The following is an 18,105-nucleotide window of genomic DNA, read 5'->3' on the forward strand; positions in this document are numbered from 1 at the left end:
ATGTTTCATAAGTCCAAGTCAGAGGAATGATAATCAGCTTGAGAGTTACAAATGGAAATCAATCATGTACTTTCCTATAATTCTACTTATCAATGACATAAAATAATTTGAAATATGCACACTGATTAGGTTTGTGTTACAGTTGAAGTATACTGACGAAGTCGCTGTTATCCTGAGATTTTATTTTTATAAGGGAAATAGTACAAAAATAATAGATGGTTTTAAAAAGTGGTTACTGTCAGGAAAATAATAAAATAGTAACATGACAGAAAGTAATGGAGGCTGCGTTACTCAAAAGAGGCCCTGGTCCAGACCCAAAAAGAGGGTTCTTAGATCTCATATAAAAAAATAATTAGAGGCAAATCCATAGAGTAAAGTGAAAGCAAGTTTATTAAGAAAATAAAGAATGGCTACTCTATAGGCAGAGCAGCCCCGAGGGCTGCTGGTTGCCCATTTTTATGGTTATTTCTTGATTATATGCTAAACAAGCAGTGAATTTATTCAAGAGCTTTCCAGGAAAGTGGTGGGCAATTCCTGGAACTGAGGGAGGATCCCCTTTTTAGACCATATAGGGTAACTTTCTGACATTTCCTTGGCATTTGTAAGCTGTCATGGTGCTGGTGGGAGTGTTTCTTAGCATGCTAATGCATTATAATTAGCGTATAATGAGCAGTGAGGATGACCAGAGGTCAGTTTTGTTGCCATCTTGGTTTGGCAGCTTCTTTACTCCAAACTGTTTTATCAGCAAGGTTTTTATGACCTGTATTTTGTGCTGACCTCCTATCTCATCCTGTGACTTAGAATGCCTAACCTCCTGAAAATGCAGTCCAGCAGGTTCCAGCCTTATTTTACCCAGCCCCCATTCAAGATGGAGTCACTCTGGTTCAAATGCCTCTGACAGCTGTGGACTCTTTATTTTAGGCCTGAGAAACTTCTACGAGATCTAAATAACAAGTAAACTCTAGCTATGAAGTTATCTGCATGATGAACTTTGCAAGCAGAAGGCACAGCAAGTGCAAATGACCTAACTAAGAGCAGTGTTGGAGAATTTCAGAAGCAAGCAGAAGGCATGTGCAACTGGAGAGTTCTGTGTAAGAGTGAGCTAATATGTGTCAATGAATCTACTGAAAATAATTTTCTTTTTTAAAAATGGAGAGATTTTATTTGAGTACACAATTTGCAAACCAGGGAGATACAGCCTTCACTATGAAAATGAGGAATGCAGATTTGTTTGGTTGTGATTGGTCAAAGCAGGTCACAGTGTATTGTCTAGTCCAGGAGGCTAAATGATATTTTCCAGCCATTGTTTCAGGTGGCATAAATAGGACACAGCTATGAAAGTCCCAAAGTTATGTGAGCACGTGGGTTTTCTGGGAACACATGGTTTATGTGTGACCTTTAGTGAGTACATGACCATTGCTTCTATTCTGAATTTAGCCTCAAGGACTGACTCTTTCAGGGTTTACCTATGACATGAGGTCCTGAGAGGAAGGCTGAAGCCAGATTATACAAGCCATAGCAAGGCTTGAATTTTATGCCAAACTCAACAGGAAATTACTGAAAGGCTTTAAGCAGGGGATGACATGGGAACATGTGTATTTTTTAAAAAGATTCTATGAATGAGTAAAAAATTACGTATGCAGGTAAGAAGAAAAGATCCAAAGCTCTATCAGTGAGGAGATTATACAATAGTGAAAACAAAACAATGATGGTAGGTAGAACAAAAATGGGGAAAGGGAAAAAACTACATGTATTTGGTACTCTATTAGAAAGGTAATGTCAAAAAGACTTGCCAATAGATTAGATACAGAGAGTGAAGAATAGAGAGTGCTTTGTCTTGGATGTTTTTGTTCTCTCCAAAACTCATGCTGAAACTTAATCCCCAATGCAACAGTAATGGAAAACACGGCTTAATGCAGGGTGTTTAGATCATAAGGGCTTCACCATCATGAAAAATGTGATACCAGTACTAAAAGAGCTTGTGGGAGTGGGCGCACTCTCTTTTGCTTTTCTGCCATGTGAAGAACAGTGTTTCTACCCTCCAGGGAATTTACCCTCTAAGGCACCAACTTGGAAGCAGAGACCAGGCCCTTACCAGACACCAAACCTGCTGGTTCCTTGGTCTTGGACTTCTCAGGTACAGAGCTGTGAGAAATAAATTTCTGTTCTTTATAAATTGCTCAGTCTTAGGAATTCGGTTATAGCAGCATAAACAGACTAAGATAAAGAGGGAGGACCTAGAAGGACTTTTAGTTGTATACATTAAAACCAAAAAACCTTGAATTCAAATCCAGGATATGCTATGTATTAATTCTGAGACCTTATTCAAGCAATTTGTCTTCTATTAGCTTCATTGTCCTCATTTGCAAATTGAGACAATACTTACGTTTAGATAAGAAAAATAGATAGATTTAAATAGCACTAAAAGAGGCCAGGCACGGTGGCTCACACCTGTAATCCCAGCACTTTGGGAGGTTCAGGGGGGTGGATCACCTGAGGTCAGGAGTTCGAGACCAACCTGGCCAACATGGCGAAACCTCATCTCTACTAAAAATACAAAAATTAGCCGGGCATGGTGTTGGGTGCCTGTAATCCCAGCTACATGGGAGACTGAGGCAGGAGAATCACTGGAACCTGGGAGGCAGAGGTTGCAGTGAGCCAAGACCGTGCCATTGCACTCCAGCCTGTTAACAAGAGCAAAACTCAGTCTCAAAGAAAAAAAAAAAAAAAACATACTAAAACAAATCATTAGCACAGTGTCAAGTATATAGTGAACTTTCAATAAAGGTGATATTAGTATTAATATTATGTTTACTTCAAACTGAAAAGTACCAATGGAATTCATATTTTTGCTGGAACCATGATTGTCTCTCGTTGTCTCAAGTCTGTTAAAAACAAACAACAAGAGAAGTTTTATATCTGAGGTAAATGTAATGATGTAGTTTTATACAAACCTTTATGGTGGTGTATATTTGGGTAAGACAGCATGTATCTCTGCATAACAAGAGAAATATTAGAGAAACTTACAGGGAAGAGTTTTTCTGGGTAGTCCTGTAGAAAATGAGGTTTAAAAAAAAAAGAGAAGGACATTCTGAATTGAAGGAACAGCATCAACAGAAAGACTACAGAGAAAAGTGCTTGATGCGCTTCCTGGATGGAGAATAGACCAATGTAATGAGTGCTGAGTGTCGCTGACAGAGGAGCAGAAGGGTGAGAGATAAGGTAGGTAGACAGGGACCCTGCTCTGCCCATGTTTGTTCGGCTTCAAGGTAGGCTGAGGCAAGATTTGTAAAGGGCTTTGAAAGTGTGCTATGAAGTTAGGAGTTATTCCCACAGGCAATGCAGTGTCAGAGTAATCAGAGTTTTAAGCACGATAAAATTGATGTTTTAAAAATATTACCCTTTTGGCTGTTGAAGCTGAAGTCAGAGTAAAAGCTACTAGAGCAGTAAAATGAGTTCAGAAACTGCAGGAGGTTTTTTTACTTTTTTTTTTTTAGATGAAGGTGGAAGTGGTACCTACTCGATAATTATTAAGCATATAGAGTTTTTGTCGTGCTTTATTTCCCTCATAGTCAGTCATGGGCGAAGTCAAGGTCAAAAAAACAAGTCAGGGACGTAAACCCAACCCACAGCTTCGGATTCTCGGTTCAATACTTTATGCAGCTAAATAATGTGAAAATGTGCCTGGATGCTGCCTGATAGAGGGAAGGTTCCATTTTTAATATGTAAAACTTACCTTTGTATGCACGAAATAAATTATAAGAGCTGTGCCACTTTAATCAATCTGTTTTGCTAGAACTAGGCTCTATAGCTATTAAAAGACTTCTACTTCCGGAGACTTCCTCATGCCATGCAGCTTAGTCATGCCTCCTTGAGCACATGGAGGCATGAATAAACTTTAAAAGAGAAAGAGGAATATGCCTTCACTGGTTTTGTAAACACAGCAGCCAATGTGTTTGCCTAAAGGGAGAGATCTGCCACTTTGTACGTTAAGCCTGAGTGAATTGCAGGGCTTCTAGACAGATACTCAGGAAATACATCTGCAAAGTTTTAAAATAAAATCATTACCCTATTTCCAGGGCACAAGATATATAGGGCAGCTGGCTATTTGGAAACAAAGGGTTGAAAGGTTCAAACGGAATGGTTTGTGCCTTTCAGGATCATTTGAGTCCATGGAAGTGGCTTCATACAAAGATCTATTTTTTAAATGAGGAATCAAAATTAAAGTAATCAAAGTGCTGTGCACGAGGTCAAATGGTTAAGTGGAAGACCTTCAGCTGCAACCCTGGCCTCATGATGACACATGCAGTGGGTTTTCTACCCTGCTACTTAACATGTTATGAAAACAGGGGCAGTGATTAAGCATGCTTTCACCCTGCCTTCTGATTGTGCGACTACACCCAAGAATGATATCTTCACTGTGTGTTTCCCCTCCTTGCTTCCTTCTTTCCACGGAGAAATACATTCTTTATAATTTCAAACTAAACTTTCTATTAATTTACACATGCATTGACTCATTTATTCATCAAACATTTATTATGGATCTATAAGTTAAGCACAGTGACAAAATCTCCAAGGAGGTCATAATTGGGAGATAGAGGAAGAGAGAAAGATATTAAACATTTAATCATCAGGGAGTATGAACAGTATTTGATTTTTTTTAAAGAACAGGAGAAGCAAGAATGATTAACAATTATTCTTACCCTTTAAATTGCAGAAAACATACTGCTTAAGATTCTGTTAAGCCCACAGGAAATAACCAGGCTGGCATATTTAGATTCATTTTCAAACTTTGACATAAATGAAATGAGATGTCCCCCCCAAACACCTGCTGGCCTGCCAAAGTTTGAAACTCTCATAATTTGAGACATTAAATTATTAGACAACAAAAGCAGCAACATTATTGAAAATGAGTGAATCCCAGTTAAAATCACATTAATTCACTAGCAGGATTCATTTACTTAGATTAAATTGTTGATAGATCAGACTCTTCAAACATCGATTATGAAAAAGGTGACCTCGGTGAGCATTTGGACTGTCAGTAGATTCATCTTAAACACTTTTCTCTAATGTCTTAAAAAGAAGTTCTCAATAGTTTGCTGCAATAGAAGCATGACAAAGGATCTTTGAAATAAATCAGGTTTTAGAAACCTGTCCCTCTCAAGAGACAGGAAAAAATGATGTGCTTATCCTTTCCCTCAAACTACACAAGCACAAATCACCAATACAATAAACTACTTAAATTTAAAAATCTACTCACTTCCTAAAAACAGGGTAATTAAGTCTCATTTCAATTTTTATACAAAGAATTTGCTATGGCCTGATATCATAAAACCTTGAAGTTATAAATAAGTTACTATTTACCTGTGAGAGGGACTTTAAAAGTGCACAAGAATTTCAAGTTCTTTTCAATGCTACTTTCTTCTGATTCTTTCCACTTAAAATGAAGTAAACAAAGAACAATATATAAGCAAAAAGGAAAAGTATTTGTGCTCAATCTAATATACTAAATAATACATTTAGTTTTATGGATGACTTCTCTGTTGAATTCAAAATATTATATTTATACTTTTTCTTAAAATCTTGAAAGTTTCTGTTAACTTTTGTGCATGCCACCTTCTTCAAAGCTTGCTATGTTTTAAAATATCAACCCTTAGATGATAAATAGAATTGAATAACCAAAATAGGAGGATACTTCATACTTGATTTAAAATTAATCTTTAGTCATTATCATTAAAACTCTTTTCTAGTTCTAAGGAGAAACTTGTTCAAGGCTTCTGATAACCGTATCTCTGAGGAGGAGAAAATGGTGGCTTCCTTAGAGTGAGAAAATCCACTGGCGCTCATAGGGTCTGGGCCTTATCATGGGGCATCAGACATGGACCAAGAGACACGAATCTAACAGCACTGAATTGGAGGGTGGATGGAGGGAAGGCCAAGGTTACACCCTTACCTTTTCAATGTCTCTAACTCATTAGATCTTTTTGATCCTGTACTTCTGTGGCCTTATTCATGTCTGTCTTATCTGATGAACTCATTAGCTTAATTACTGTCTGTACTAGCATTTGCCAGACCTTACTACTATGAAATGAATTTCACAAAGTTTGACCCAGAAGCTATCTGCATCAGAATCACCTGAAAACTTGTGACAAAGGCAGGTTACCACAGACCTACTGTCTGAAGATGGGTCTGATAACCCTTTATTTCAAACCAGCACCCCAAGTGATTTTCTTCCAAGATTAAGTTGGAGAAACACTGATTTTACAACATGAGAAATAGTTATTCTAGAAGTTGGTATCAAGCCTTTGGCTGCAAAATCTGAACCAATACTTTACTGAACTCTCAGCTTATTGATGACATTTCCTATTTCCCTTTTAATGATACAGAAATAGCATAGCTATGGAAATGATGGGCTTTAGAGTAAGGCAAACCCAAGTTCCATTTTGCCTGTCTTTTCACCCATGGAAGAGATAAATCAATGCCTCCTCAAGTGTTTTGGTTATTGTCTGTCTTCTACAGGAGATAAAACGCCATGAAAATAGTGTTCCAGATCAACTTTCTCTGTATCCTCAGCATCTCAGACAGCCAACAGAACATAGTAATTGCTCAAAAAATACTTGTGAGTTTATTGCAGATGTTAATTTGATAAAATTTGTATATAAAATTGTAATGGGACCTGAAAAGTAAACTTAGCTATTGCTACTATTACTACTATTATTATTATTACTTTAAAATATGAGAAGTTTCAAAATAAGATAAATTAGTCATAACAGATATGTAGACTCTGGTTCTCTTCAGAAGAAAAATAAAGGGAGATTAAATTTTATTTAAGAATGCATATTTCATTTCAGCAAAATAGATTATTCCGATTCAGAGCAGAAATATTTACAGGTAATAGAAATCATACAACTGGAATGTAAGTTTACTCAGGTATATGAGTGCTTAGAAAAGTAAAATTAAAGCTTATAAATTTTTCTTTTTATGAATAGCTCAAGGTAGATTTGGAACTCCCTTGAAAAAAAATCAGAATGGTGGCAACTAGCCTTTGGTTAATGGCTTAGATTTATTTAAGAGATGGTGTCTTTCTCTCTTGCCCAGGCTGGAGTACAGTGGGACAATCACATCTCAGTACAGCCTTGAACTCATGTGCTCAAGTGATCTTCCCACCTCAGCCTACTGAGTAGCTGGGACTCCAAGTTTGCACCACCAAATCTTTAGATTATTTTTAAAAGGGGAAGAATGTATGTACATCTTCCCATATAAGTAAAGTTGAATTATGAGACTAACTGTGTACCTGTGCTGCCAGAGATTCTCAAATAGAGCCTAATGGTGTCCTTGGATAAAACTAACGTTACAGCCAAAGTTATGATGAGGCCCATCTAATCTTCTGCCATTTGTTGTCATCAACTCACTCATGCACCTCTGCAAATCTCTGTCCAAATATCACCTGATTGGAGAAGCTATTTCTGCTTCCTCACCTTACATGGTGAGTGCAAAAGTAATTGTGGTTTTTGCAATGTTGAAATTTGCCATTTGATAGTGGAATGCTTTCTTAGACAAACGTGGCTGTGTTACACATCATTTTAAGGGGATTTCTCACTTTATGTTTTTTGTTAATGATTATTACTTGCTGTTTATGTTTATTTTAGAATAAGGAAATGATGTTAGACAAAAAGCAAATTTGAACAATTTTCTTATTTAAAACTGGTCATAAAGCAGTGGAGACAACTCGCAACAACAACAATGCATTTGGCCCGGGAACTGCTAACAAACGTACAGTGCAGTGGTGGTTCAAGAAGTTTTGCAAAGGAGAGGAGATCCTTGAAGATGAGGAGCACAGTGGCTGGCCATCGGAAGTTGGCAACAACCAATTGAGAGCAATCATTGACACTGATCCTCTCACTATAGAAGTTGCCGAAGAACTCAATGTAGACTCTACATTCAAATGCTGAATGACTCTATGGTCATTCAGCATTTGAAGCAAATTGTAAAGATGAAAAATCTCAATAAGTGGGGCCTCATAAGATGACTGAAAATTTTAAAAAGTCACTTATTCTACACAACAAGAAGGAACTGTTCCCTGATCAGATTGTGAACATGCAAGGAAAAGTGAATTTTATATGAAAACCGCCAATGACCAGCTCCGTGGTTGGACTGAGAAGCTTGAAAGCACTTCCCAAAGCCAAACTTCCACCAAAAAAAAAGGTCATAGTCATTGCTTGGTCTACTACCACTCTGATCAACTACCATTTTCTGAATCACAGTGAAACCATTACTTCTGAGAAGTATGCTCAGCAAATCAATGAGATGCACCAAAAACTTCAAAGCCTGCAGCCACATTGGTCAACAGAAAGGGCCCAATACTTCTCCATGGCAATACCCGACTATATGTTGCACAACCAACACTTCAAAAGTTGAACAAATTGGGCTACAAATTTTGCCCTATCCGCCATATTCACCTGACTTCTCACCAACCAACTACCACTTCAACCATCTTGACAACTTTTGCAGGGAAAATGATCCCACAATCAGTAGGATGCAGAAAATGCTTTAAAAGAGTTTGTTAAATCCCGAAACACAGATTTTTATGCTATAGGAATAAACAAACTTATTTCTTATTGGCAAAAAATGTGTTCATTATAATGATTCCTATTTTGATTAATAAAGATCTATTTGAGCCTAGTTATAATGATTTAAACTTCACGGTCCAAAACTGCAATTATTTTTGCACCAACCTCCACTGGTGCAAGTTAAAAAGTAGCGTCAGCTAACTCACTGCTTATTTTTTAACCTCTTATCCTCTTTATTTCTCTCTGTAACACTGATCACCATTTAAGATGCTGTTACTTTCTATTCACTTATTGTCTCTTCCTCACTCAACATAATATAAGTAGAAGGCCTGGATGATGCCCATCTATATTGGATGAGGGCAGACCACAAGCAGAGTGTTGATTTAAGGTTATAAAAATGATAAAATTTGAGCCAAGATAGAGTTAGACTTTGAGGGGTCAAGACTGGTTTTGGGCAGTGATAGACGTACAGTATAGATGTGACTCTCTCCAGCAGAATGCTAGTAGTACTGAAAGCCATATGAGAAGAATCTGTTTGAATATCAAAGCCTAAGTCAGCATTTCTCAAAGTGTGTTCTATTAAATACTTTGACAGATTAAGAAGAAAAAAGGAAAGAAAGAAAAGTGAACAAGGTGGGAAAATAAAATCAGGAACCTTTAAACTACATCTTTTTTTAGGTTTGCATTTAATATTAACACATCATAAACTATGAGAATCCATGGAGCAAAACAAAACAAACAAAAAAAAAACCCTCCTTAACTGAATATCCCTTGTTTCCTAAACTTATTTCATCAAATACTATTTCTTCCTCACATCACATGCTTTAACAATGAGTTTGAAAGAGGTAATTTTCACAATAATTAAAAATTACAACAATTTTAGCCATGTAGGGAGTGAATTAAACCCCTTGGGTTATTTCCAATGAAAAAGACATACCACCAGTGGCCTTGAAGGAGAAAAAGAAAGAACAGCTTCTCTGTTAGTACCTTAAGCTGTTGTCCCCTACAAACTCAGCTCAGTGAGATGTGACCTCATCCTGAGAGATTCAGGTCTTTTACTGACTTTATTAAATACTTCTTCTTGCTGAGTCTGAGTTTGAGTTCTGTGTGGGGTGCTGTATTCTCCAACGACCCGCTCAAATGTATTATTTATTTTGTTCCCTGTGATTTAATGAAAGATTGTGGTTACAATATCCAAACTGAACCCAGATATCCTGTATTAGTTAGGGTGTTCCTGAGAAACAGAGTCAATAGAATATATGTAAATAGATAGACAGATGAGGGGAAATATATTATGGAAATTGGCCTACATGATTACGGAACTGAGAAGTCTCACCACATGCCATCCACAAGCTTGAGAACTAGGGAAGGTGGAGGCATAGCTCAGTTCAAATCTGAAAGCCTGGGAACCAGAGAAGCTGAGAGTGTAACTCTGAGTCTGAAGCTGAAGGCCAGAAAATCTGGAGTCCTGGTGTTCAAGGACAGAAGAAGATGGATGTCCTAGCTTTAGAAGAAAGAGAAAGTGAATTTATCTTTCTTCTGTCTTTGGTTCTACCTGGGTCCTCAAGAATTGGATGGTGCCCTTCCACATTGGGTTAGGGCAGTTTTTTCTTACTCATACCGCTGAATCAAATGCCAATCTTTTCCAGAAACAACCTTGCATTAGTTTATTTTCATGCTGCTAATGAAGACATACTCAAGACTGGGTAATTTATAAAGGAAAGAGTTTTAATGGACTCACAGTTCCACATGGCTTGGGAGGCCTCACAATGGTGGTGAATGGCTAAGGTAGAGCAAAGGCACATCTTACATGGTGGCAGTCAAGAGAGCATGTGCAGGGGAACTACCCTTTATAAAACCATCAGATCTCATGAGATTTATTCAGTATCATGAAATCAACATGGGAAAAATTCATCCCTATAATTCAATTACCTCCCAACAGGTCCCTCCCATGATGTGTGGGAACTATTAAAATTCAAGGTGAGATTTGTTTTGGGACACAGAACCAAGCCATATCATTCTGCTGCTGGCCCCTCCCAAATCTCATATCCTCACATATAAAGATCATTCATACCTTCCAACAGTACCCCAAAGTCTTAGCTCATTTCATCATTAACCCAAAAGTACAACTCCAAAGTCTCATCTGAGACAAGGAAAATCCCTTCTACCTATGAGCCTATAAAATCAAAAGCAAGTTAGTTACTTCCTAGACACAATGGGGGCGCAGGCATTGGGTAAATACACCTGTTCCAAATGAGATAAATTGGCCAAAACAAAGGGGTTACGGGCCCTATGCAAGTCTGAAATTCAATGGAGCAGCCTAGTCTTAAAGCTCTGAAATGATCTCCTTTGACTCCATGTCTCACATCCAGGTCATGCTGATACAAGAGGTAGGCTCCCATGGCCTTGGGCAGTGACACCCTGGAGGCTTTGCAGCATACACCCCCCTTCCCAGCTGCTTTCATGGGCTGACACTGAGTGCCAGTGGCTTTCCCAGATGCACCGTGCAAACTGTCAGTATATCTACCATTCTGGCATCTGGAGGACAATGGCCCTCTTCTCACAGCTCCAACAGGCAGTGCCCCAGTGGGAGCTCTGTGTTGGGGCTCTGACCCCACATTTCCTTTCTGCTCTGCCCTAGCAGAGGTTCTCCATACCCCTGCAGCAGACTTCTGCCTGGACATCCAGGCTATTCTATACATCCTCTGAAATCTTGGCAGAGGTTCCCAACCTCAATTATTGACTTCTGTGCACCCGTAGGCTGAGCAACAGGCAGAAGCTGCCAAGGCTTAGGACTTGCACCCTCTGAAACCATGGTCTGAGCTGTACTTTGGCCACTTTCAGCTACAGCTGGAGCAACTGGGACACCAGGCACCAAGTCCTGAGGCTACACACAGCAGGGGCCGCCGGATCCAACCCAGGAAACCATTTTTATCTCCCGGACCTCTGAGCCTATGGTGGAAGAGGCTGCCAGGAAGGTCTCTGACATGCACTGGGGACATTTTCCCCATTGTCTTGGCAATAAATATTAACTCGTTAGTTATGTAAATTTCCGCTGGCTTGAATTTCTCCTCATAAAATGGGGTTTTCTTTTCTCTCACATTGTCAGGCTGCAAATTTTCCAAACTTTTATGCTCTGCTTCCCTTTTAAAAATAAATTCCAATTCTAAAGCATATCTTTTTGTGAATACATAAAACCGAATGTTTTTAACAGCACCCAAGTCACATATTGAATGCTTTGCTGCTTAGAAATTTCTTCCACCAGATGCCCTAAATCATCTCTCTCAAGTTCAAAGTTCCACAGATCTCTGGGGCAGGGGCAAAATGCTGCCAGTCTCTTTGCTAAAGTATAACAAGAGTCACCTTTGCTGTAGTTCCCAACAAGTTCCTCATCTCCATCTGAGACCACCTCAGCCTGCACTTTATTGTCCATATCACTAGTATTAGAATTTTGGTGGAAACCATTCAACAAGTGTCTAGGAAGTTCCAAACTTTCCCACATCTTCCTGTCTTCGTAGTCCTCCAAATCTCTAGGAACTTCCAGACTTTCCTATATCTTCCTGTCTTCTTCTGAGCCCTCCAAACTGTTTCAATCTCTGCCTGTTACTCAGTTCCAAAGTCACTTGGATCTTTTGAGTATCTTTATAGCAACAGCCCACAACTGGTTACAAATTTACTGTCTTAGTTCGTTTTCACACTGCTGATAAAGACATACCCAAGACTGGGTAATTTATAAAGGAAAGAGGTTTAATAGACTCACAGTTTCACATGATTGGGGGGGGCTCACAATCATGGCAGAAGACGAAGGAAAAACGAAGTCATGTCTTGCATGGTGCAAGCAAGAGAGCATGTGCATGGGAACTCCCCTTTATAAAACCATCAAATCTCATGAGAATTATTTACTATCACAAGAACAGCACAGGAAAAACCTGTCCCCATAATTTAATTACCTCCAACCAGGTCCCTCCCATGACATGTGGAGATTATTACAATTTGAGGTCATATTTAGGTGGGGACACAAAGCCAAACCATATCGACCCTCATAAATATACCCTGAAATAAGGCTTTGCCAGCTATCTGGATATCCCTTAATCCAGTTGAGTTGATGACTAAAATTAATCATCACATACACAGTGGTGCCCCTTAAATGATTTTTTTTTTATTTCATTGATATTGAAAACAGGTAACTTTGATTCATATTCAACCCAAAACCTGAGGGAAACCTGGAAAATCAAACTGCATTCTTTTTCCAATAATTATCTGTCCAAAATTCATTTTGGAAAATATCAAATTTAAATGATCCCTCTTTTGCTAGGTTTTGAAACTGACAAAAGGAAATTTTAGTATTCTAAAATAGAGCTGAACCTGGGCCAGTAAATCTATGCTGCATCCCTTCCCAAGTCCTTACCATCAACCTTGAAGATGGGTCTTTGAAGTCAGCGTAGGGATGGAAATGGGCCTTGTTGGAAGCAGTAACAACAAGAGCTCCAGATGTTCTGACAGGTGGCCTCCAGGAAGGTTTCATTATCAGGGCAATTAATATGGATGTGACCTTCATCCTGAAATGAGCCAAGGAGGCTTTTTGATATTTTCCACATTTCAGGTCTGAGAACCTTTCACAGCAGTCAAGATCAGATAGAGCAAGCCTATTAAGTCTCTCTGGATTCAAATATATACAGTGTGTTAAGAAGAGAGTAAATTTATCATAAAGGGCCTAAACTATTTTTTCCCTCTGTAAATGATAAGACTATATCTAGAAGCCTACCTCTACCACACCCTTGTCCACACTCCCCCCACAACACTTTCACAAATTTACAAATATACAAACGTGAACACACAGAAGCACATTTTATACTCTAAACTGTGTACTCTGAAATCTGATTTAGTTATATAATACGTGTCACATATTTTTCACTTCACGAGGTTCACATAGAATAGATTTATCCACTTTAACTTCAAATATCTTACTCATCTTTCAACTTTTAACTTCACTGTTATCCTCTCCAAAAATTTTCTTTTAACTTATCTTTACCTTAAGTGCCGCCTTCTCTGTATTTCCAAAGCATCCTAAAACTATCTATGTCTTTTGGAACCCTTATTGTATTGCATTGAAATATGATTCAGTATCTTGTGTCTAAAGATTTCTAACAGGGCAAGGAGCTGGTCTTGTATTCCCAGAACTAGGCACAGAGTCTAAAACATACTATATTCCCAATAATGCTTATATGATTTATCATAACCTGAGTCTTTATACACAGTTAAATAGTAATCTATCAGGCTGGGGTGGTGGCCCACGCCTGTAATCCAAGCACTTTGGGAGGTCAAGGCGGGCAGGTTACCTGAGGTCAGGAGTTCGAGACCAGCCTGGCCAACATGGTGAAACCCCGTCTCTACTAAAAATACAAAAATTAGCCAAGCGTGGTGGCACATGCCTGTAGTCCCAACTACTCAGGAGGCTGAGGCAGGAGAATTACTTGAACCCAGGAGGTGGACGTTGCAGTGAGCGGAGATCGCACGAATGCACTCCAGCCTGGGTGACAGAGCAAGACTCTGTCTCAAAAAAAAAACTAGTAATCTATCAGACAAAACTTTCTAACATCAAGAGAGTACTGGCAAATGAAAATATAGTAAAGTTATGTACTAATTGTAATTCTGTGTGTATGAGAAAGATCTTTGTTAAAATAACATTTAACTGAAATTTTCATATAGGAGTGGTCATCTAAACAAATGTCCTTTAAAAATAAAATGTGGCTTTTCATTCTGGGATGAGAAATCTTAAATCCCAAATTTTTACTCTGTGGTATAGAATCTATAATATTTTATTAAGATTGAACAATTTAATTTTAGCTTTAATTAAATATTTCTTTGATCAAACATTAAGGACAATAGGGTAAAAAGATAAATTTGATTTCTCACATTATTTTTCATAGCTTTGAACATAGTATCTCAAGCATGCTTATTTACACCAAATAAATATATTTATAAATGGTTTATACTTGACTTGCCACCTTTTAGCATCATTTATTCCTCTTCACTTGAAACAACTACTCTGGTTTTCCTTTGTTGAAATAATTACACTCAAAGAAGGACACTCCTATTGTGAAATGAGATTGTAGGATCATGACAGCTGTCATCTGGATTATGAAATTCCCCAAAAGTACTTTTGTTTTCCATTATTGTCACACTGTAAACACGTATTTCACTCTAGCCCCCAGAAGGACTGATTGAACTGTCATAAGATTAGAAATGTTTAAATACATAACTGAGGCTATATTTTTTAACAACACACACTATTTCAGGTTAATCTAAGTAATACTTCCCAAAAGCATAACATCTAATACTGCATCTGGAATTTCTCACAATTCTCTGAAGTATTCACTCTCAGAGACAACTTAGCATAATAGACAAACTTTGCCAACTTAATACCTATTTCGTCTGCAAAATCATTAATAAATATAGCATATAAACCATCTGCATCTCTACTCCACTGTTGTTAAATAGCTTGAGGCTGATTTTACATTGCAAAGTTGTTTCAATTGCCCTTCATACTGTTGTTAACTATTTCGTTAAGTGCAGGCAGTTTCATCTTTAAATCCTTTGTTCATCATAAGAGTATGACTCATCTTCCTCCTTAAGGGAACAATACTTCACTGTGGAAACAAATTTTTACTTCCATGATCATGGTGAAAACAGCTATCATAAACTATTCAAGGTTACACACCAGGAAACTAACTGCATGATTCCATTCTCCTTTCTAGGCACCGAAAAAGGTATTCAAAGAAGCAATTTATTCATGAGAGCAGGAAATTGGTTCTTGCTATAATCTTTCCAATTTATTGCTGAAGTGGGTAATTCTGCAATAATTAAGCTCATCCCTTATTATTCTCAATGTGACATGATTTTGCACCCTATTGTTATTCGATTTATAACCTTTGCCTTTCAGCTACAAGTGAGCATTAACCACATTTTATGAATAATCTCTCCTTCTGGAGAAAAATAAACATAAAATCAAAGGACATGCTGCAATAAGGATACTTTACGCAGTAACCAGAAATGATACCTACCAAGATGGTGACTACGGGTTAAAAATAAACTATCAGAATATGTTTTTAAAAAACCATCAATAACAACAAAAAAAACAAGCATCTGTCTCATCTCCTTTGTTTTTTTAGAATAGTGTGTTTAAGAAGAGTAAAACATAAAATCAAAGGCCTAAGTTTGAATATTCCATCTCCCTCATTGGTTATGTGACTTTTGGAAAACTCAGCTAACCCTTAAATTTGGCCTCTTTATCTATAATGTGGATGATAATGACTGTCCTGTTTACTTCAGCAGGCCATTATAAGACTGAAATCAGGCAAAATATATGAAGAAAAATTTTAAGATGTAGACCACAATACAAAAGTGATATAATATCAGCAGTCTTTCCAGAAAATGAATAACGTTAAAGATAATTTAAAATTAGGACAATATGATGATTTCTAAACAAGTATGTGGGAGCCTAATATGTTTCCTTTCCTGAATGTTGAAAGGTAATGTTAAAACCCATGCCTGGTACATTTACACTGAATGTTTAATAAGTTGTGGTTACAGCAAAGCTGTGCTTCTCTTTAATGGAAATAAATATCAAGCAATTAAAAAAAAAGAGTCAGGTAAATAATCTTCCCACAAAATAAGATCAAATGATTCTTCCTAACAAGACTATTGTTTTTCTAGTTTATTTATGTATGATGGCCATATACTAGAAGGAATAAGGGAATCAAGAAATAAACTAGAAATTTTGGTGGGAGTCCTTAAAAAAGTAATCTGAAACCACCGTCTATGTCTTTGGTTTCAAAGCAGTTAGCGAAATAGAGCACCAAATTACAAGTCATCTCAATAAACTTTGCTTAAAGATAAACTAACTTCCTAGCTTTGAGGCTGAGTGAATTGTTTCAAAGAAGATTGCTGTCAACAGGATTACTAGAAACTGACTATGGTCAAAAGGAAAGCTTTATACATTTCAGAAGTGACAAAGCCTATTGAAGTGTATCTTGAATAGTCAGACCATGGTGACCATTCTGTGAATATCTTGTCCATTTATTTCCCTTCCCCTACTTCACTAAGAGCATAGGTAGTAAAATAACAATTGTAGTTAAATCCTTCCCAGTAAAATAGGCCTGTAACCTTAAACAAAACTGTGACATGGTACTCTGCAACTTGTTCTGTGAAGTGGGGAAGTCAGATTGTTCCAAATTTTAATTATATTTTCTAATATTCCTTCTTCTTTGCAGTATTCTTCACATACATCCTAAAGCTAATTTGTATTTATTTGCTGGCTTTCAGGATAAGACCTAAAACTTAATGCTCTTATCTTTGGTCACCAGTGTCAAATGTTGCTTACACTCATCTCTGTGTCCTTCTATATGGCCCCTCATTGCCTTTTTTTCCTTTTGTCTTCATTTTAACATTCATTTCTGTATTACTCGGGCTGCTTCTTTGATGTTCTAGGGTTTTGAAAGGTTCACTAGTCTAGAAATCATTGTACAGAGGAAGGGCTTGAGATTTTGAAAAGCTAGTATAGCAGTGTCTAATCATTCTCTCCATGAAAATCATGGCGTGGATATCTGAATGCTCATTGGGGCCAGACATAACTTGGGGGCAGAGTGTAAGGGTATCTTTCATGGTCTTTTCAGGCAACACCCTGACTCCTGTACCTGGTATTTCTGAAATTCTTGGTTCATAATAAAAAAAATCAGATATCACCCTGTATTAGTTGGTTCTCATACTGCTATAAGATACACTGGAGACTGGGTAATTTATAAAGGAAAGAGATTTAATTGACTCACAGTTCTGCATGGCTGGGGAGGCCTCAGGAAACGTACAATCATGGCAGAAGGTGAAGGGGAAGAAAGGCATCTTCTTCACAAGGCGGCAGGAAGAAGAAATGCTGAGTGAAAGGGGAAGAGCCACTTACAAAACCTTCAGATCCACCCGCCTCGGCCCCAGCTACTCGGGAGGCTGAGGCAGCAGAATGGCGTGAACCAGGGAGGCGAAGCTTGCAGTGAGCCGAGATCGCGTCACTGCACTCCAGCCTGGTCGACAGAGGGAGACTCCGTCTAAAAAAGAAAAAAAACCTTCAGATCTCGTGAGACCTCACTCACTATAACGAGAATAGCATGGGGAAAACTGCCCACATGATTCAATTACCTCCACCTGGTCTCTCCTTTGACTTGTGGGGATTAGGGGGATTACAATTTAAGATGAGCTTTGGGTGGATACAAAGCATAACTATATCACACTCTCATGGAGACATGAGTCCTGCCATGATCCTGGTAGTAACTTTGGGTCTAAAAGAAGATACGATAAATGTAGGGAACATATTTTCAACCACCCACCAAAATATTCATCTATCAATCGATTAAGCAGGCAGTTTATGATAGTATTTTGTTCCTTTAGCATATTCTAGATGTAAAGACTATGCAAACAAATTAATCAGCTCATGTATTTATATTAATATTGTGATATGCAGTATATATGATAACCAGGGATATAG

At 37.9% G+C, this 18,105-nt stretch overlaps 1 long non-coding RNA gene across 1 annotated transcript; it reads right to left on the reverse strand.

The window, feature by feature from the left end:
• Nucleotides 1-5,364: 5,364 nt before the first annotated feature.
• LOC105378802 (uncharacterized) lies at nt 5,365-17,585 on the reverse strand. Its single transcript, XR_001737793.1, has 3 exons — nt 17,399-17,585; nt 12,979-13,129; nt 5,365-5,437 (listed from the first exon to the last, which is right to left on the reverse strand). It is a non-coding gene; the product is annotated as an uncharacterized LOC105378802 (long non-coding RNA).
• Between the last annotated feature and the right edge of the window lie 520 nt (nt 17,586-18,105).

The sequence above is a fragment of the Homo sapiens genome, chromosome 1 (assembly GCF_000001405.40).
Source record: "Homo sapiens chromosome 1, GRCh38.p14 Primary Assembly".
Classification (NCBI taxonomy): domain Eukaryota; kingdom Metazoa; phylum Chordata; class Mammalia; order Primates; family Hominidae; genus Homo; species Homo sapiens.